The sequence below is a fragment of the Homo sapiens genome, chromosome 15 (assembly GCF_000001405.40).
Source record: "Homo sapiens chromosome 15, GRCh38.p14 Primary Assembly".
Classification (NCBI taxonomy): Eukaryota; Metazoa; Chordata; class Mammalia; order Primates; family Hominidae; genus Homo; species Homo sapiens.
This window is the reverse complement of record NC_000015.10, coordinates 97,332,773-97,355,703: the sequence shown is the minus strand read 5'-3', so window position 1 is coordinate 97,355,703 and position 22,931 is coordinate 97,332,773. Positions and strand designations below refer to the sequence as shown.

General features: G+C 38.8%; 1 long non-coding RNA gene and 1 pseudogene across 4 annotated transcripts in view; both read right to left on the bottom strand.

The window, feature by feature from the left end:
* Window positions 1–22,931, bottom strand: part of LINC02253 (long intergenic non-protein coding RNA 2253) — a 197,799-nt gene that overhangs the window by 76,387 nt on the left and 98,481 nt on the right. The window contains exon 4 of one of the 4 annotated variants that reach the window (NR_183855.1): window positions 21,842–21,895. The exons of the other annotated variants lie outside the window; for them this stretch is intronic. This is a non-coding gene — a long non-coding RNA (long intergenic non-protein coding RNA 2253). The remainder of the gene's footprint in view (window positions 1–21,841; window positions 21,896–22,931) is intronic. 4 annotated transcript variants of the gene reach the window in all.
* On the bottom strand, window positions 1,889–2,207 carry RN7SL677P (RNA, 7SL, cytoplasmic 677, pseudogene; annotated as a pseudogene).

Here is a 22,931-nt window from a genome sequence, read left to right as displayed (position 1 = left end):
AATGTCTCCTTACTGACCCAGGAACAATAACCTCAGGGGGAAATATCACCTAAATAAGGTCCCTCCCCTCCTTTATGGCTGGGTCAGGTCCTTGATCAGTTGCAAGGTATTTTCCTTGAAATGGCCATGAAAGCCTTTTCCTGGGAATAGTTCACTCTTGTAGGGTTATGGTGAAGCAAACTATGTAAAGTTTGATGCTCCTTGAATTCAGGAGCAGGTCTTTTAACTTCCCCTTGTTAAGGTGGAAAGATGTGGTGAACAGAAATGTTCTTTTCAATTTGAAACTTCATGGAGGACGATCTCTTTGTGGGACTGGTACTACACACCATGGCTCCACGTGACCTTTTCGAGGATCCCATGGTGGTTTTATCTTGATTAAAATGGTTCTGTTCACAGGAGGGGAAGGGCTGTGCCATCATCCTCCAAAAGAAGGTGGAAAAGGCAAAAGATGGAAAGAAGATACCACTTTCTCGTGGAAAGGCGGGAGGAGAAGAGAAGGAGTGAGCACAACAGAGAGGCATGTTGGAGAATGAGGGAGAGACAGAGAGAAGGAAATAAAGAGAAAAGCCAGAGGCTCAGGAAATGGCAGGGAAAGTGATCTAACTAATTGTATGAAGAGACATTCTGTCCATTTCTTCTTAGTGCAAGGCAAGAAGGAGGCACTATCAATCCCAGTTTGCAGATGGGGAAACTGAGTCCCAGTGTAAATTACCGTGCCCAAGTTCACTGGGATCATGTGTAGCCAAACCAAGATTCAGTCTTAAGTTTGCTAGACTTCAGACTCTGCCCTTTCCATAAGAGAAGGAACACCTGTGTTTCATTTTGATGAATTCTCAACAATACCTTTTAAAGTAAATAATGAATGTCCCCCTCCCTGACCTAGACAAGAGCCTACTTTGCACTTTCACCCTCAGGTTCCCCTAAGAAACACCACAAGCATTATATCTCCGCTAACCAAACCCAATCATCTGGTTTCCCAACAACACCAGGATTTTTTTTTTTTTTTTTCTTAGAGACGGACGGTAAAGGCAAGAGAATGATGGTGGAAATAAAACTGTTGTAACTCCATGCTGCCTCTGGGATTTATTTACCGTTGATCATGGCTGGGGAACTCTTTGAACCTTACATATGTGTAGGATTGTGAAGGTCGGTGTGCATATGTCAAAAAAGAGGGAGGACAGAGCGAAGCCTGATGAATAAAGAGGAAAATTCCAGAGAATGAGTAGGCTCTGTGGGGTGAAGAGGGGATGCGGCATTGTAACAAAGGAATAGAAAACTCCAGGAGAAATTATAGTTATATGATCTGTACCCAAGGAGGAAGTATATACAAGAACACTTCTTGCCCACAAAAATGTATTAGGTGGTAATGGTTCCTTATGGTGCTGTGTTCTCTGACCGAGCATGACACGTCATGTTTTGAGGCAGGCAGGAGAGAGACATGGAGGAGCGGGTTCTCTATACTCACTGCTCCCTGTGCAGTTACGCAGAGAGCTCCCTATACTAAGACAACCATTTGAGAGGGCAAATGGGGCCTGGAGTGCAACCTGAGTTTCATCACCAAAGCTGTCGGCCCTGAAAGCGATTATTTTTGCCCTGAGGATGCACCTTTTTCTAATTTTCATAAGTTTGTAGTGTGGATTGGGTCTGCCCTGCCTGCAGCCTAAGGAACCCAGAAGTGTCAGTAAGATTATGTTTGAAAATAAAATTCATCTTTCCTGTATTCTTTTGCTGTACCAGGTTCCCCCCTGCCCTATTTATTTTTTCTCTCTAGAATTCACCAGTGGTCAGACTCTGATGATTTATAAGGCTCAGGGGGAACCAACGCTTTTTAAAGCACGTGTCATAAAGGAACAATGAAATGCTCAAAATTTGAATAGACCCAGGAGGCAGAGGCAATTCCTAAAATAGTGGCTCAAGCAGCATGTGTCTGCTTCATTTTCATCTTATAGACCATAATATTTTATGTGGAAAATCATTTGATCAGCACGGGAGTTTTGATCTGTTCTGTTTCTGACCTGGGCCGGTTCATCCCTCCTTAGGCAACCTGGTGGACCCCACTCCCAAGAGGTCACCATATTGATGAATAACTTAGTGCAGATACCCAGTCGGCATAGCATAGCACACTACAGCCCAGAACTCCTGGGCTCAAGTGATCCTCTTGCCTCAGCCTCCCAAGTAGCTGGGACTACCGCACCACCGCATCTGGCGGAAAAGTCATTGGAAAATCAGAGTTGCTCATTGCTACTAATTTGGAGAACACTTACATTGATCCCTTGTGTCTGAGGAAGATGCTACTAAACTGAAGAGATGTTCTTAAGCCCTCTCTGCATCAGAGGGCTCTTACTTGCAATTCCCCACTGGACATAGATGCCAGGGAAAAACTATATTTCTATTTACAATCTTAATTATTTGCAAAGCCAGCTTTCTCCTCTTTCTTCCTCTCAAACAATTATACAATATTTTGACCCAAGTTCAGAGACTAATGTCTGCTATAGAAAGCAGGCAGACAGAGTGATATGATGGCCAAGAACCTAGAGGCCCAGACAGTAGTCATGGTAGAGTCACTATTTGGCTTCATGATCTTGGGCAAACCACTTACCTCCTGTGATTATGTAAATTAGGCAAACATTGCAGTCTGTCAGTCCCATGGAGGTTTTTGCAACACTCAGTTGCATATTAAAGACCCTGAGGAGTTCTACAATACAAAACCCTGTTTACGAATTTGAGAATGTAAACTTGTTTTCCTTCATAGCACAAATATTGATACACAGAGCAGAATATTCCAGACAGAGAGAAGAATGTCAAAGAAGGCCTAGAAAAGCAGAAACAAACAAAGAAAACTTGACATAGTAAGTTCTACCTAGCCAGAATCTGAAGTGACATAAATCCTAAGCGGAGTAGGGAAGAGGTCTGGCCTCGATATGTAAACTTTGCAGAGCTTTGCAAGTCATGTTGTGAGCTGGACCCATCTCTAAAAACAGGCTTCACTTAGAAATGGACACAGCCCTGAACTAGAAGTTGTAGGGTCTAGGTACTAGTCCCTGTTCTATCCCAAATGTGGAGACTTAAGCAGACCATTTCCCCCTGTTTAAGCATCAGCCTCCACATCTGTAGCACAGGAATACTCTGTATGCCTTACATGGTTTTGTGTATCAATTAAGTAAGAGCTTATGGAAGCGTTCTAATCTACCCTGTACTCCCTAAGCATAAAAGGTTAACCCTGCCCCCTAAAATCTTATGGCTATACCTATACTTTTCTGCAAGTTATTATTTTTAAATTTACATTTTAAGTAAATATCAAAAAACAATGCATTTAGTTGTTTTGAATGCAATCAAATGGATACAAATAGATACTCTAAATAATTGAATTGGTACTATTAGATGGCACACTTGAACATTGGTTACTGCCAGAATCAACTGAAATTCATGATCTCTGGCTGACGGATTTCAGAATCTTTTTTCTTGACAGATGGAGAGATTTGAAAATAGTTTAAAACACATAAGCTTACTCACCGCAATTGATTTGAACATATTTACTGGATTGTTTTAGCTTAAATAGACAGAAGTCAAACCTAAAGACTTTTTATAAGAGTTGATCACCACATATAAAAGTTCTATTGTGAGCTTAAGACTGAGGATGAAAATTTATATCAGAGCTAAGGGGACACAGAACTTGCACCTGAGCAGAGAAAAGTTTTATAAGATCATTTAGAGACCTCGAGTTTTCTGCTGCAGCTGGACCAAGAAGACACTATTCTTCCAAAGGGAACAAGAAACATCTGAGAAGTGACTGAAATGTTTCAGTGTATCTTACACATAGACTGCCCCTTTTTTGTAAAAAAAAAAAAAAAAAAAAAAAAAAGGGCTCTCTCACTACCTGTTAGACATGCCAAGGGCGACTCGTTAGATGTCCCAGCTTTAGAAACAGATTTGCAAGCCAGAGTGTTCCAACCCTGCAGTTGGATTGTGAATTTTTAACCGTCACAAGTTTGGCCTTTGAGCGGGACTTGAGAAAGGAAGAAAGAAAAGAGGTAAAGAATGAAGAAGAAAAGCAAAATAAATCAAAAGCAGCTTTCTTGGTAACGCGGACATCTCCAAGGCCATGTGCAAAAGCACTGGGTCTCTAATGATATCAATTAGGCCCGACCCGCTGGGATATGGGAGATATATTGTATCCACAGAGTCTGCTCAAGTCCATATGTAAAAGGTCATTAACTGGGTACCGAACATTACAAATTATCGGCCAAGGGTGCCTCTCTATCCCCTATGCTTTGAACAGTTCTGAAATAAATTATAAACAGTAATGGTTTCATGTTGACAAGCTAATTCCACTGAAATTTTTCTTTCTAAATCAAGGAAAGTATTATTTTTTAAAAATATCCAGTGTGCGTTGAATGTGGATTCATACTGGCACGGACGCACACACATGTACACATAAGCACAAAGAAAGGCAACTGCCTGCTTTTCCCAGCTCCATTTCCCAGTTGGGATGGGGGATAGGTGACTTCTCCATCGAAGTGAGGATTTCCCAAAACATTTTCTTCCTTGGCTGATCTCTTTGCATCTCTTTCAAGGCACGGTGGGTGTCTTCACAGCAGTGGGTGCATTTGTTGAAGCAGACACTGTAAACTACTTAATAAAGGTTTACAATTCCATATTGGTGTGGGACTATTTTGGCAGCCTTTCAGGGAGATGTCATCTCTCCCAGGGCTGTGTTTAGGATGCTGTGGCCACCTGAAGGCATTCTCACAGGCTGACAACCAGCGGCTCCTTGCTGCCACCCTTCCTCTGATGCCCGGCCTCATGCTGAAGCTGCAGAGATTTCCCAGTCCTCAGAGAGAAACTTTGCCAACTCAAGCAAACAAAACAGAATTCTGCTACATAAGTCAATTTGAGTTGTGGTCCAACGACATCTTCAGCGTTTGGCAAAATGCTGAATTATCCAAGAAAGGGGCTTCCTCTGATAAGATCACATCTTATTTCTGTGCCCCAAGAAAACCTTGCTCAGAAGACTGATTTGGGGTGGCTTTTTTCTGATTTCTATACCTAATTTATTCTGTATTAGAAGGTAAGATCAAATAGATCTGAAACCTCTCTGCACTAATTTTAAAGTGACGACTTGAGTTTGTTTTCACGTTTTGGTTTCTGTATATTTTTTTTTCAATTATTCATGTTAGATACTTCAGAGTACTACAAATTTTGGCGGTGAATTTGAAGAGATTAAAAAGTATGTTTTTTTTAAATAAAAAACAGATTTCTACAAATGGAAATATAAGAGGGGGAAACTTGACCAAAATATATTCTCACCTTGCAGTACTATGCCACCATATGAGTGTGGAATTGTTCTCCATTCAATATGTTCTTCTAAATTCACAAAATAAGGCACAAGAGTAGCAACACGGTAATCCTGTGGCCCTTGCTGTAGGTTATGTTATTCTTTCTGTCTCTGAAACACAGCGAGAGTGACCAGCTCTTCCCATTTTGCACAGGACTATTCCTTGTTTTAGAACAAAAAGTTCCATGTCCTGGGAACTCCCTAGGTCCTGGGACACCAGGAGGTGTGGTCATTTCCACTCCCAGACTAGTGTTCCCTGCCCCAGGGTGCTGCAAAGTGAGCTCCCTTTCAGGATTTTTCTGAAAGACATCACCATAACAGCACACTTTAATTAAAAGTTAAACTTTCCATGTGGATCAAAATTTGTACCTGTGAGATATACTAAAATCATAGAAGCACAAATCCTCTCAAAGACAGTGTTTCTGATAGCACCCCTTCCGTATAGTTTAGAATGAAAAGCCCCTTCTGGGCAGGGAGTCCAGCATCCAGGTAATGCTTAGTGGCACCAATGCTCTAGAATAAAAAGTGCTAGGAGGCACTGCAGAATTTTCACTCACTAAATCCCAGTCCCAGAGGGAACACAGGCTTTTCCTAGAATGACAAACATCTGCTTTAGGGACTCTTAGAGGAAAAAGGCAGCTGCATATAAGACGTAAGTGGTTCCAAGTGGCTCTTTCATTCTCCAATATCCAATCTCAGTGACCTTTATAGTATCTGAATTTATGATCAGGTCTTTAGCTATACCCTGAGTTCATTTCCCCTTATCTTGCTTTACTGTTGACTTGTCTGACCCAAACTTTCTATTTGTGAAAGAAAAAGACACAGTCTTAGATTCACAGGGCCTAGCTTTGAGCTGGCTCAATTGTGTCCTCAGTCTGGCACTTTGAACGAGACCTTGAACTGTTCATGACTTCCATCTCCTCATCATTAACAGGCCCCATAAGATTGATGTCGTTGGGCTGTAAGTGTTTAGCGAAAATGTCTATGAATTATGGACCACAGCCCCTGAGAAATAGTAAGTGCTCAAAATATATTCACTGAGACCAAATTCCCCTTGAGATTTCTTCCTGTCTCTCTACTTAGTTCTCTGACAACTTATTTTCTGACCCTTTATTGACTTCTCCTCTTCGTTACCCGAAATTGAGTATGAGAACATTAAGTTGAGGATTTCTGAAATGTTGAAGACAAAGAGATTGCTGCTAGTGTGTGTGATTGGAATACTGAACTTCCAGCCTGTCTCGATGAAGGTTTAGTGACGGAGAAAAGCCTCATACATTTCCTTAGAGGCAGTGGAGAGAAGTGGTGAAGATAGTGAGCTTTAGAGATGGGTTGCCTATGTTTGAATTCCAGCTCTGCAACTCCATCACTGCATCCCTTGTCTAGGATTTATCCCTCTGTGCCTCAGTTTTCTCATCTCCAAATGGCAGCAATGATTGTAACTCATTCCTAGAGTTGTCATTTTAAATATACTATGTAAATGCATTAATATGCACCGAATAATGGCAAATAGTAAGTGCTCAGATAGTTCAGTGGGTTCAGCTATTACAACTTCTTCAACCTCCTCAGGAGCCCATATTACCACTGGTTTTTCCATCTGTCTCCACCTGTAGCATGCAGATACCCTCAACAATGCTCTGTATCCATCTTTCCTAGAGCATTCAAGCACTCATCTCTTACAGGACGTCAGAATGATTTACTGAATTGTGATTGGAACTCATTAAAATATAATATGTTTGGGTTTTGTTGATTATGTACTTAAACTGAGCTCTGAAGTTTTGTTCATCATTTAAAAACCTGGTAAATAGAATAATTTAAACATTTGCAGATTGTATACTCAGCTGCTGTGATTTGCTTTCACTTTTAAGTTTCTTTCCTCAATAAAGTGTGATGACTTTGACTATTCTAAAATGGGAGGTCTTCTGCTTGGTAATGTAAATTTTTTATTGTTATTGAAGCTTTTGTAGTTTTGTAGTTCTTGTAATTACCTGGTGACCCTCTAGCTTAGTGTAAATGAGCTATTTACAGGTAGAGACTTAAAATGGAGACACTACTTTGTATTTTAGGGATTAACTGAATTAGGAATTTAGGGACATGCAGAGAATACTAAAGGTAGTGAGTGTTCTAGTTCTTCCTTGCTGTGTATGTACATACTTTTATCATCTCAGTCCTCAAGGCAGAATAATATGCAATTTCTTTAGCCTTGGATTATTTGTAGTGCTTCCTTGTACCCTGATTACAGTCATGCTGAGCAATGATAGTACTTCTACTATTTGAAGTACAGGATTTAGGAACATTTCTCATCCTTCTTGTCCATCATGTGTGTCTGCCAATGGTAGGCATGTATGAATGAGCCGAGATGCATGGGCACTCCTCGAATAGGAGCTCAAACTGAGGCATTTATGTGTGCAACAGGGAAGGTCTCTCGTGCCAGGTCTATGGATTAGTGGCCCCAGAAGGCCAACATAATGATAATTTCTATTTGTTCACTTGACTGGGCTACAGGGTGCCCAGATATTTGGTTAAACAGTATTTTGCAGGTGTATGTGACAGTGTTTTTAAATGAGGTTAATATTTGAATAGGCAGACTGAGTAAAGTAGATTGCTCTCCCCAGTGGGGGTGGGCTCCTCACCTAATCTATTGAAGGTCTAAATATAATAAAAGACTTATGAAATACATTTCAACAGAGCATGTATTTTGTGTCACCTATGTGTTATTGGTTTACTTATTTTGTAATACAATTGGAAAGGTAGTATCAGCAAAGACTAAAGTCTTGTTTGAGAGACTACAGTTAAGAAGGAGAAGCCAGTTTCTTTATTCCTAAAATGTGCTGTCTCCTGTTATAGCAGCTTCTGTTATTTTTGTCTAAGAAAAACATAAAAACAAAAACAGAAGCAAAACTCTTGGTTAGCTCACATAAAAGGAAATTCTCCCTGTCTATCTTCGAGCTGGTGCCTAGGTCTTCTGCCTTCAAAATCAGATTGAGACTGGAATTTACACCATTGGCTCTCCTAGGTCTCCAGCCTGCTAAATACATATCTTGGACTCCTCAGCCTCCATAATTATGTAAGCCAATTCCTTACAGTAGAGATAGATATAGATAGAGATCTTTACGGTTTTGTTTCTCTGGAGAGCCCAAAGTAATACAGTCACCCTATTTTGTCTTTTCCCTTTCTTCACCCTCCACCAGCTTAGTTCCAATGAGCCGTCTTGTGCTCTAAGTCCATTTATCTGCACCCAGGAACCCATTTATGTGTATTTAGAAACTGTAGGATTGGCTCAAATTCAGTGTGAGCTCCACTGACGGCTTCACATGCTTCCTCAATCTCTGATCTTTGTCCACGGTTCCAGAGATCAAATAGCTTCTCTGTATTCACCCTTGCTTTCCCCTTCGGATCTTCCTCCTTCTTTTGTTCGTCTCATCAATTTTCAACATTTCTTCTTTCAACATGTCCCATATTGTCTCAGAAAATGCAGATAAACAAATTGTTACAGAAATAAAAAGCATAGTGAAAGCAGCAAGAAATAGATAATGCTACAAATATATCCATCAGTTCGGAAGACAGGCTTGAGACAAACAAAAAATTGTAAGAAAAAAGATAAAAATAACTAAAGATAATATAGAATCAGAGATTAATGACTGGTGTACTTACAAAAGGAGCAGAACTAACTAACACCCAATCAAAAAACCTGACCATTTAGTAAAAAATAGATAATCAATGGAATAGAAAATACAGGGAAAATGTTTTCAGATAAGATAATTAAAACCAAATATATATGTTTAATTAATACATCTTTGTACTATTAAAAATTTCAACAGAGCTGAGCACAGTGGCTCACACCTGTATTCCCAGCTACTCAGGATGCTGAGGTGGGGCAATCACTTGAGTTCAGGAGTTTCAGACCAGCCTGAGCAACATAGTGAGATCCTGTCTCTCAAATTTTTTAAAAAAATGTGGTTGCACAGGTAGTTCCAGCTATTCCAAAGGCTGACACAGAAGGATCACTTGAGCCCAGGAGTTCAAGGCTGCAGTGAGCCATGCACCACTGCAGTTCAGCCTGGAAGACAGAACGAGACGCCTTGTCTAAAAAAATAAGTAAAAATAAAACTTCAACAGAGAGTGTATTTTATGTAACTTGTTATTGATTTATTTGTGATAAAATTGGAAATTTAGTATCATCGAAAACTAACTTCTTGTTTGAGATACTGTTGTTAAGAAGGAAAAGCTAGAGTTTCTTCATTCCTAATATTGTGGTGAGACTTTTGTCATTGCATTTTCCATTGTTATTCATATATATGGAATAAAAATCTAAAACCAAAACCAGAAACAAAACTCTTTGTCAGCCCACATAAGGTCTCGTATGATATGTTCAGTGTGAACCTGCTCAGCTTTCTCATTTGTGGACACACATACAGAAATTATCATGAGTCCAACATCACCCTCTACCCTACCTCGCACATACTCTTTAGAGAACAGAGGTCACCTTCCATATTCCTAAACCAATGCTTCTCAGCTGAGGGCTAGGGAGGCACTTTTCCTTCCAGCAGACATTTGGCAATATCTGGAGATATTTTTGGTTGTCACGACTGGGGAGTGGTGGTGTGCTACTGGTGCCTAGAGGGTAGAGACCAGGGATGCTGCTCAATATCTTACATTGAACAAGACAGCCTCTACAACAAAGAAGTATCTGGCCCAAAATATCACTAGTGCCAAGATTGGGAAACCCTGTTCTACACTCCTAGCATTTGGCACAATAATTTGCACGTAGGTGGAGTGCTGCGTAGCTTGTTTATAATTGATTGACAGAGAGTGGATCTAAATAAACCTTTTCTCTCTCTCTCTCTCTCTCTTTAAGAATTAATACCTAAGGTATATAACTGACTGCCCAGGCTTCGTTTGTTCAAAACCTTTTCATATTTGCTACCTTATCTGATGAACAAATCTCACTATGTCAAGAGGAGAGAAAGCGTATAATTAGCAGAAATAGCACTGGATGTAGGGTCTAGGTTAAACCTGATTTCACTTATCAGCTATGTATCCACGGCAAAGTCAGGAAAACACCTTGGGTCTTAGTGATTTTTATTGCTAAAATGATAGTATAAAATCATTCTTTTTCTTTGTTTTAGTTTTAAGACTAGTACTTGGACTCAAGCAGTATGACAATATCCCTATGTTACACATCAGGAAATTGAGACTAAAATAAATTAGTTCAATTTCCCATCGTAACATGACCTATAAAATCCACGGAAGGGGATTCAGTCATCTCACCCACACCCAGCAAGATGAAATTTCAACCTATTAAAGGTTTTTTGCCTCATTATTATCATTAATTTTCATGGACATCTCAACATGACCACAAATATCAGGCACAGACAACTTACACTGAAATGGATCATTCACGTTCACCCCTTTTTAAGTTGACAAATGGCCATACCCAGGTGTAGAGGTGAGCCCATATGCACATCATGACCCTAGCCTGAAAATATAGTTCTTTCATTTTCTTGGCTGCAAAATATGATTTTTTCTTCCTTACACCTTCACTTTCTGAGCAGCTTTAGAAACACATCTGTTTTCTATATGTTGAGGAAGGAAAACATGAATGCTTTATTATGCCCTACATAATCTAATACATTACATCGCTTATGGGCTGTGTTATTTTGTAAAAAAAATTCCCAGAAATCTCTAGAGGTACAGAGGCACAGAGGCACAGAAAGACCTAGAAAAGAAAGCTTCCTTGAACAAGGAGATGCCAGGGCATCCCTCAGATCTTAAAGCAGCCACGCTCATGGGTCCAGTCCACTCCTTTCAAGATTGACAAGTGATCACTTAATCCCCCAATAAACTTTATTTATAGAAGAGCACTTGAGATTGCAGGCCACCTGTGCACATCTGCTTGGAAGAACCGTAGGGTCTGGACGGCAGCCTTGTTCTGTAATCAGTGAGATAAGTCAAAGTGAATAAGAGTTGGACTCAGACTCTTCACAGTGTGTTCCCTGGACACATAAGGGGCACTCTCACATAGCTGCACATGATTTCTTTTCAGACCAGAAGACCACTACTATCAAGGCAACCCCTCCAGTATAATTACTGACAGGAAAGAAGCCCTTCTCAATGCCCAATTTGTAATTAAGCAGGAATCCAAGTACTATTATGGTCCAGCAATGAATGTTACCTTAGTGTTTTTATCTTTTCAGAGAATAAGCAGTGTCTGGCCGCCACATTGAAGTTCACATTATATATTCTCAGTTCTATTCATGATGAAGACATGCTTTCAATTACTTTCTTTTGGAATGCTCTTTGAGAAAAATAATATTCTAAGGAGTAACCCAAACCTAATAGAAAACTGGGCAGAAGATTTGAAAAAGCAATTCATAGAAGAGAAAATGCAAATGAACTATAAATATATGAAAATATTCTCTACCACATGAATTTAAATCAGAGAAATAAAATAAAAAATTAATGAGATACATTTTTACCCCATTAAGATAAGAAAAAATGAAAAGTTAGACAATGTCAAGTGTTAACAAGGATGTGGAACAAAAGAACTGTTACCCATTGCTGGTGACATAAATTGATTTAAACTATTTGAAAAATGATTGGTCAATATCCAGTAAAGTTGAAGATGCCTATATTTTATCACCTAGCAATTTTGTTCCTCAGTACATATGCTAAATAAACTTTTGCATATATATATACTATTAATAGCAGGCATAACAAAGAAAGCTCAGTGAAGCACTGCTTATAAAATAATAACATTGAAAACAATACACATTCATCAGCAGAAAACTGAAAAAGTTGTGGTGGGTTCACAGAATAGGATGTTTTTAACCATGAAAATGAACTAGAGTCACAAGTACACACATGGTTGTGTATCAGAAAAAAAATTCTGAAAATTATTTGTGTGAACAAGAGCACATAAACCCAGTAGAGAGGTGATATATAGTATGTATCCGTATGTATACATAAACATTTATATGTATGATATATGTATATATACACTCTAGAACACATATGTATCATATACATATATGTTTGTTCTGGTATGTATATGACATATTTATATTTATACTTATATGTATATATACATCAATATGTATATATGCGTGCATATATACATACTACCTATCAACTCCCTATAAAATCTAGAAGAAACATTCATTTGGTGTGCTAAAATATATAATCTTATCTCATTTCTGTAAAGTTTTTATTTCCTCAAAGGAAAATCTGTCAAAATCAATCAGCACACTAAAATATAAAACACTCATCTCCTTTGTGTGCGAGACTCCGTTAAAAAAAAAAAAGAGAGAGAGAATATGTTATAAAAATATTTAGCAATTGCTATGGTATAGACACTGGCAATCAGAACAGATAGTAGCTACACCATTGTTTTGGCCATATTGGAGTTGAATGTCAGCCCTTTCCATATGCTTTCAAGGTTGCACAATGTGCAATGATAGATCCAAAATAAGATACAAACTTGCTATCAAGAAATTCCAAATCCTGAGAGTGCACTAGATAGAGACCATCACTTCTGTATTAAAATGAATCATCTGCGAGGGTCTCGTGCTTTGGATGTTTCTAGGCAGTTCTGATTCTGATTCTAGCTCTGTTAGTCGTTGGACTATTCTGAAATTCTGGCATTTCATTACATAACCTCTATTTCACAGACATCCTTTTACACTCAACAGTGGTATAGAAACCTTTGTCAGCTTTCAGATTTGTGGCTCAGGAGACAGAATCCCATAGGATAGATAACAGTGATTTAGTTTTTATCTGAACATGAACATATGTGTTTCTCTTTTTTTTTTTTTTTTTTTTAAGAGAATGGTACTAATGCATATGCAATAAATTTTAAGTAAAGACAGGGTTTCAAGTATCAAAAACTGTTCTCTGGACCTCTGTTGAATTTGAACCATTCTACATGACATGAATAGCTCCACTGCCCCACTAACCTGTGAGGCCACTCTTGGTTGGCAGGTGGGAGAAGAGATAAAATGAGACATGCAAAGAGTTAAAATAAAGAGAATGTTCCTCCTTGACCTTCAGATTCTCCTTATTTACTCCTGGGTTGAAAGAACATGAAAGTTACTGCAAAAGCATTTCAAACATCATCATGATAGAGGGAATCAAACAATTTAATTAAGAGTGAAACATCAATGTAAAATGCTGATGATTTCATCCTTGAGGTGCTGATGGTTCATATTAGTATGGAAAGAATGCAGGTAAGACATTTTCAATGCATGAAAACATCAAAATGTTTTGAAAGTTATTTTAAAGTCCAGTTTCCTTTATGGATTGAAATGTTATGGCCTTTAATCACTTGTTCTATCAGCAACTAACATTCACTAAATAATTATAAATTAAAAATTATAAAATTATAAATTATAAATTAAATAAGGAGGCAGTCAACGGCTTAACTAATTCATGCACTAAGCATTTCTGTACACCCACAGTGGGAGGAACATTGTAGCACAATAAAAGTGCACTAAATCCATAACATTCTTTAGTTTCCACACTGAAAGAAGAAAATGTAATAAATATAGTTTCTATAGGGTGTGATGAAACAGAATTTGGGGATGATAGCGTTGATAGGTAGAAAGGATAGAAGATAATATGAGGAAATTAAAATAGAGGGGAGGTAAATGAGCATAAGAAAATGTTCAGGGCAGTAATCATCTAGCACAGTCGGAAGTCTCAGGCTATCAGCTCCAAGGCAGCAAGGAAAATACTGGTTTTATTCTCAGCTGCCTGATACATAGAAAGAACTCAAAAACCTCTTGCTCAATGACTGAGTGAGACATAGCAGATTCCAATATGTAAGGAGGTAGTTATATAAGGGGGAAGTGTAAAATGAAGGTTAAAAATGAAGTTAGGGCCATATTGTGCAGAGTATGGAATGCCAGAGTGAGCAATGTAGCCATTAACTTATATGCAAATGATGGGAGTGGATATGTGAGAATTGCATCCAGTAATAGCAAATAGCTCTTATTAAGACAAACTCAGAGAAAATAATCATCAACTCTGGAAAAAAAATATGAAAAGCAACTACCCAAATACACTGGGCAGTGAATAATAGAGGCAGATGCTGGAGAAGAATTGTCACTTAAAAAAGGGAATAGTTCTCTATGAATATCCCATTTTCAGAGATTATTTTATAGAAGGCAAGTCCCAGACTGCATATCACATCAAGTATGTAAAACTCCAATAAGAAGCCTACAGTATTACTAGTCTGAAGAATGAGAGGATTGAGCTTAGGACAACTACAGCCAACAGAAAGTGGGGAGAAATCCTGGAAAGGATAAAACAAGAGACAGAAATCCCCAAGTTCCATGAATCAACTCTGCCCCAATATCTGAATGAATCCTGAATTATGCCTGTACAAAGTGAATTCCAAGCAGCACAGCTAAAGTTAAGGAACAAGCCTGAGAACAGACTATCAAACGCAAGGCAGACAGAGTTTCTAGTTTAAGTTCAGCCAAGTTAACTAACAGCTTTAAAAATACTCAGCATTCTTTGAAAGAACATAACAGAATCCAGAATCTCTACAACATGTTATTTAATATATTCAGAATAAGATATTTCACATAAAAAGAAATAGGCTTATAATACCTATTTTAAATAGAAAAGAAAATGATCGGTTTCCAATTCCCAGGTGACCCAGATGTTGGAATTAGCAGACACAAATTCTAAAGCAGTTTTCATAACTATGCTGAATAAAGTTAAAGAAAATATGCTTATAATAAGCTAAACGATAGTGAATCTCAGCAGATAAGTCCTAGAAATAAAAAAGTAAATATCTGAAATATGTAAAGAAAATTACTAGAGTGGAATGGATTTAATAGAAAAATGGAGATGACAGAAGGAATTCAGTGAATGTGAAGATAAATCAGTGGGAGGTATTCAATCTAAAGATACAGCTGATACTGAAAAAAAAATGAACAAAGCTTCAGAAATTGAAAAGGAGTAGGAACCCCCTTAGGAGCCTACTGGGCACCCTTCCCAACATTCTACCCCAAAACCCATGTCCCCAGCACAGAAATAATGGAGAATGTTGAGTTCCTTCAAGGGAAATTCCAGGCACCCAGCAAGCCTTGAGAAGTAAATGAGCAACCTGATAAGCAAGAAAGTAATAATAACTTAAAACAAAAGCCAAGGAAGTTAGAGTCATGAGATGTTTGGTTCTTGATAGAAACTAAAAATAATATCTTAACATATGTCCCACCTGTTTTGTTGTTGTTGTTTCGTTTTGTTTGTTTTTCAGAAACAGGAGTGATAAGGGGGAACTGAGGACTAAATTTTTCTAAAGGTCTTCCTAAGGTTCCTGGAAGAAGTCACGTTTATAAGCCAGAACTTACATATCTTTCTGCTGTCCCAAAATTTTTAAACAAAACTACTCTTCCTTAACCAACTGCAAATCAGAAAATCTTGGAATCTACTTATGACCTGTAAGCCTCCGCTTCAAGATACCCCACCTTTTTAGACCAAAGCAATGACTAACCTCCATGTATTGAGGTATGATTTTGCCTGTAACTTCTGCCTTCTTGAAAGTTACCCATACCTTTAAAGACCCTTGCTTGCAAGCCACTGAGAAGATGGGTCTAAAGTGTGCATTGCCCCATTCTCCTTGCCTGGTTCCCTGCAAATAAATGCCCTGCTTTCTGCAGTGGCAAACCTCAGTGTGGATATTTGGTTTTACCCCACTGGATGAGTGGACCCACTTTGGTTTGGTAACAAAACCTATGGGGGAATATAAAAAGCTTTAACGTACACATTATTGGTGTCCCAGAAAACAAAAATAAACCATTAAGTAGGAAAAAGTATTTGCGGAAGTGATGACCAAAAATTTCTCAAAGTCATAGTTTTCATAAGCTCAATGATGCTCATATAGGGTACATACAAATAATACCCCATCTTTTCTCATAAGCGTTAGACTGCTGAAAACCAAAGAAAAAGACAAACTCCTAAACCTGGCTGAGAGAAATGTCATCATGTTTAGAAAAAAAGACAAATTATCATTGGCTCTCTATTAGAAAAATTGGAGTCTAGAAAATCATGGAATACTGTCTTAAAAGTTCTAGAAGAAAAAAAAATACGTACACACACATATATATTTATATACATATATATATCAACCCAGAAATCTACAGGCAGTGAAAATATTTTTTAAGAGTAAAAACAAAATTAATACACTTCCAAATCAAAGAAGATTAAGAGATTAGTCACAAGCAGAATTATGCTATAAAAAAAGTAAAGCTCTTCAGGCAGAAAGGAAATTATGCCAGATAGAAAACTGCATATTTAGAGTTGAATAAAAAAGAAGTCACTGGAAATGTATAAATGGAAATGGTAAATACACAAGATGCAGGGAATCAATGAAGATTTTTGAGTATACGTCTGAATTATTCTGTGAGCTTGTTATTCATTTATTAATCTGTGAAATGTCCCAAGAAAATATAAAGAACATTTCAAAGATATATATTATATAGCTATGATATTGTAAAATATATATTTGGCCTTTTACCCTGTTTCTGGCAATACAATTTCTAAAATCCTTAGAATCTCCAAAGTGGTGTTTTCTTTACAGTAATGAGTTGACTGACAGCTGGCGGTCCCTGGGCAGCTTCAGGATGGGGGTTGGTCTTCTGAATGAATGACCTAAGCAGAGCTAGAGGATTGGGACATTCAACTCCAACTTTCAAAGAGGGGAGAGGGGCTGCAGGCTCAATCTTAAACATGACTGAGAAAAATGTCATCATATTTAGAAAAAAAACTATAATTTACTCTCCATTAGAAAAAATGGAGGCCGAAAAATACTGAAATATGGTCTTATAAGTTCTAAAAAAAAAAAACCACACCCACATATATAGTCAATGGCCAATGAATTGATCATTGTCTACTGGTCATCAATGCTAAATGATTTAATCAATCATGCTTATGGAATGAAGCCTCCATAAAACCCCAAAAAACTGAGTTTGGGGAGCTTCAGATAGACAAACAGGTGGAGATACTGGGAGGGTGGTGCCTGGAGAGGGCATGGAAGCTCTGTGCCCCTTCCCATGCCTCGCCCTATGAATCTCTTCATCTGTATCCTTTGTTATATCCTTTATAATAAACCAGTAGTTCCCTGAGTTGTGTGAAACACTTTAGCAAATCAATGGAATTGAAGGAGGGGGTCATGGGAATCCTGATTTATAAGTCAGTCAGTCAGAAGCACAGGCAAAATAACTTGAGGCTTGCAATGGGCATTGGAAGCGAGGGGATTGTGCGGCAGTCTTGAGGACTGGGCCCTCAACCTGTGGGATCTAACACAATCTCCAGGTAGACAGTGTCAGAATTAAATTAGAAGGCACTCACCTGGTGCCCAGTGCAGACTGATGGGCTGCCTGCTGGTGGGGAAAGCCCTACATATATTTGGTCACAGAAGTCTTCTATGTTGATTGTTGTGGGGTGAGAGCAGAGAAAAAACAATCTGAGTTTTTACCATTCAGTAGCATTTTTAAAAACCCATAAAATGAGTTGCAAGGGAAAATGAAGCTAGGTTAATAATTTGGAACAAAAATCTTATTTGTGCATAATATATTGATGGTGTCTTATGCACTTGACAGAAGCCACTTGCAGATCTATGAATTTAATCTACATTACGAAGAGACTTAAATGATCTGGTTCATTGCTAGGTCCTCAGCATCCACGGGTAAAAAGGTTAAGGAAAGGCATTCCGAGAAACAAATGAGGGGCAGATTATCAGAGCATAAGATGCTTTTGGGAAGAAGGAAGCACCACTGCTTACCATATCTATAGGTTCTACAAGGCAAGGACAAACCAGAGACTCAGGAAAAGAAGAGCTAGCTCTGATACCAATAAAATCAAAACACAAGATGTATAGCTGGCAGACATTCAGAGACAGTATAGTCCAAATTCTTGTTGTTAGCCAAGAAAACTACAGCCCAAAAATGTTTGTTAAATGACATCTCAGATGTAAAAACAACAAGGGGGGGGGTTTGATATCAGAATTAAGGGCAAGAACCCAGAAAAAAGAATTGAAGTTGGTGATTTATTAATTATTGTAGGTCATATAAAGGAATATCAATAATTTATTTGTCTAGAAGAAAACAATGGTCTAGTAGCAATATACTACCATTTAACTTATGCAAATTCTAGAATACACACTCTATTACTCTGTTATTTGTATCCGTTTCTCTCTCTTAAAAAATAAAAATATAATGGGCTGTACACTCAACTGCGTACTGTATACTACCATATACATTATATGTGAGCATATATTTACGATATATACATTACTATATAGAGAGAGATAAGGAATAGATCCTCTGCACTGACAGAAAAATGAATTTTGTCTTATTAGAGCCATTTCATCTTGTCTCCTTTTTGCAGCTGATTAGCTATAACCTAAATAATAGAGAAGTTGTAACCAGGAAGTAAGGTGCTGTCTTAACAAAAATCTAAAAACGTTTGGAATTTTAATTGTTTAGTGGTGAGCGGCAAAAACACAGATATCATAGCTTGGGAAGCTAGTGTCGAACGACTTAGTTACAACTTCTAGGGCAGATGGTAAGTTTTTCAAGACAACTAAAAATAAAATTGTTAAAAAAAAAAAACTCAAAATGGGGCAGGGCACTGTGGCTCACGCCTGTAATCCCAGCACTTTGGGAGGCTGAGGCGGGTGGATCACCTGAGGTCGGGAGTTCGAGACCAGCCTGACCAACATGAAGAAACACCATCTCTACTAAAAATACAAAATTAGCTGGGTGTGGTGGTGCACGTCTGTAATCCCAGCTACTTGGGAGGCTGAGGCAGGAGAATCGCTTGAACCTGGGAGGTGGAGGTTGCGGTGAGCCGAGATCATGCCATTGCACTCCATCCTGGGCAACAAAAGCAAAACTCCATAAAAAGAAAAAGAAAAAGAAAGAAAGAAAGAAAGAAAGAAAGAAAGAAAGAAAGAAAGAAAGAAAGAAAGAAAGAGAGGGAAGGAAGGAAGGAAGGAAGGAGGGAAGGAAGGGAAAGAAAGAACGAGAAAGAAAAAAGAAAAAAACTCACAGTGATTTTGTCTGTTGGATGCTCCTTGCCGCTTCTAGCAAAGTCTTAGAGAAAGCCTGAGTAAGAATATGCAGGCAAAATGGAATGACGTTGAGCTCTGGGGATTAACGAATACCTTAAACTTAAATCAAATAAGAATCCAGATTTTTGGGGGCTTTTAAGATGAAACAGCTCACTGCTACTGTAGCCAAAACAGCAAGTGATAAGCTTCCAGATCTCTTTCAAGTATTGCTCATTAAGGTTTGTCAGCCAGAAAATGGAAGTCAGTCCAAATAAAAGTCAAATGATGTTGTCTTTTTACTCAAGGTTGCTATTTCAGATGATCTCGAGGATTCGCCATTAACAGGAAGATAGGGAGACAGACCAAGCACAGAAGCCAGAAAATAGAACTGAATGCAGAGGCCTCAGAGGTTATGTCCAGAAGAGAGTTTCAAGTGTGGTTACCTACACCTGATGCTCACTGGAAGTAAATAGACTGAATGCCTACTAAGTCTGAGGAAGTTATATTGCCAAAGAGACTCCAAGCTGAGTCTACAAATGTGTGATTTTTCAATATCTGAAGTCAATCTGATCCTCTATCTTTAACAGTTACAAAACTGCAACTTCAAGAATGGGATACTTTTCCTCATCCCATTCAGAAGTGCTTCTAAAAGGTAATGAAAAAGAAAAACCTCTCAGATGGTGAAGCCAGAACTCTTCAACCCAAATGGAAAGGACAGTTCCTCCCAGAAAGTAGAATCAGGACCCAATCAAGGAACTTTGCTGCTAAGTCAAGGGTATTTGCAATGCTGCCCAGCAGGATTTGCTAATCACAATGAATCACTGACTTCTGTGTGTTTTTCATTTTTCTCAATGGGGGTTTTCTTCATTTTTCCCCCCACTATATTTTGGGTATTAGGGAGGGAGAGATTATTTGTCTGTTAGTTTATAGGTCACTAAACTGCAACAAATCACAGCTGGGCTTGGTGAAGAATAATCCACAGGTGGCCTGAGTCTTTGAACTGGTTGCAGTAACTGAATGAGACCTTGGGTTTTCCCCTTGGGGTCAAGGTAAATACATGTCTAAAGAGAAATTCATGGTTTGATTGGCTATGCAAGGCAGACTGGAGTAGAAGACTGGTTTTCTCTCAAAATCCATCACCTCTTATTCCATATAAGTAGAACTCAATAACCTAGAACTTTCCCTCTTACTAATCCACAGTCTCCTTAGGGTGGCCATAGCCAGTCAGCTTGAGGCTGTATTTCCCATCATTCATTGCACCTCAATGTAGCCATCTGACTGATCTCATCAGTGATATGTAAATGGAAGTAAGGGATTAAATTGCATATTACTTGCCTTAATTTTATTTTCTTCCATACCTCCTGATCCTGCCTTGATCATATGCAAAACCTGCAAGAGGAAAAGCACCTGGATCCCTGAGTGATTTCTGGGAACAGAGTTGCCAGGCTGGCTTAGCTAGCTTGTTCTCTACACCTGACCTTACTTGAAAGGGCCATTGTGATTTCCTTTTTTTTTTCTTTAACGACATGTGAGTCTACACTGTTGCACTCTAAGCCATACAAGGACTCATTTTGATTAATATAGTTCTCACCTTATTAGACATTTACATTAGGAACTAATTCACAGGCAAAGTGCAATGTTACTGTATTGTTAGTCTTTAGCAAGAGTTTGCTGGCTAAATGATCCTTATACCTGTAGTTCATCTCTTTCCACTCCCCTTACCCTCACTGTTAGAATTACTGAGGGTTGGCCAACTTGGAGATAGTGGGCTATGTCACCAATGAGCTGGTACGGGGAAAACTAATGATTCAGGCTATTTAATTTCCTCTTTTATTAGTAGATCTTCTCTCCACAGGATAAATTGGATAAGAAAGCTGGAGTGGGAGAAGTTCTAGTTTGCTCTCCCCCTCCTCTCCCTCCTTTCAGCCTTGAAGAGGGCCCATTTCCCTTGCCGGGTAGCACAGGAAACGTTTTTCTCTTTGATTCTCATTTGGTCTTCATTTTACATCCTTTTTGCTTCCACTTCTCTAAACTGGATATAGTTTTGTTGGTCACTTTTCTTTCTCTTCTTTTCTCCCCCTATCCTGCTTCTGTCTGGGCATTAAATCAATTCCTAAATCTTTTTTTCTTCTCTTTTCTGCTTTTTACTGGAGAATGGGAATACATTTCCTGTTTAGAATTTTGAATACTATGTTGACATATTTTTAGAGATATTTGGTATTCAATCTCTGGATAACTTCCTGTTATCTATGACCATAAGCAACCTCCTCTGTCCCATGGATTCATTTCTTCTCAGTAGCTTAGTATTTTCTCTAGAATTTCTTTTACAAAGGAGGTATGTAGTCTTCTAGCTTGGGCACTTCCAGTCTGTATTAATCCATTCTTATGCTGCTGTGAAGAAATACCCAAGACTGGGTAATTTATTAAAAAAAGAGGATTAATAGACTCACAGTTCTGCATGGCTGTGGAGGCCTCATGAAACTTACAATCATGGCAGAAGGCACCTATTCACAGGGCAGCAGAAGAGAGAATGAGTGTCAGCAGGGGAAATGCCAGATGCTTATAAAACCATCAGTTCTTGTCAGAACTCACTCACTGCCACCAGAACAGCATGAGGAAACTGCCTCAATAATTCAATTACTACCAGGTCCCTCCCATGACATGTGGGAATTATGGGAATTACAATTCAAAATGGGATTTGGGTGGGGACACAGTCAAACCATATAATTCCATCCCGGCCCATCACAAATCTCATGTCCTCACATTTGAAAACACAATTATGTCTTCCCAACAGTCTCCCCAAATCGTAAGTCATTCCAATATTAATCCAAAAGTCCAAATCCAAAGTCTCATCTGACACAAGGCAAGCCCCTTCGGCCTACCAGCCTGTAAAATCAAAAGCAAGTTAGTTACTTATTAGATACACTAGAGGTACAGGCATTGGGTAAATACACCCATTAAAAATGGGAGAAATTGGCCAAAACAAAGGGGCAAAGGTCCCATGCAAGTTCGAAATCCATTGAGGCAGTAATTAAATCTTAACGCTCTGAAATAATCTCCTTTGACTCCATGTCTCATATCCAGGTCAAAGTGATGCAAGAGGTGATCTCCCATGACCTGTGGCTTTGCAGGGTACAACTCGTTTCCTAGCTGTTTTTCATGGGCTGGCACTGAATGTCTGCAGCTTCTCCAGGCACACAGTGCAAGCTGTCGGTGGATCTACAATTATTGGTTCTGGAGGACAGTGGCCCTCTTCTCACAGCTACACAAGGCAGTGCTCCAGGGGGAACTCCAAATCCACATTTCCCTTCTACGCTGCCCTAGTAGAGGTTCTGTTCTCCATGAGGGCTCCACCCCTGCATCAAATTTCTACCTGAACATCCAGGTGTTTCCATATACCCTCTGAAATCCAGGTGGAGGTTCCCAAACCTCAATTCTTGACTTCTGTGCACCCATGGGCTCAACACCATGTGGAAGCTGCCAAGGTTTGGGGCTTACACCCTCTGAAACCACTGCCTGAGCTGTACCTTGGTCCCTTTT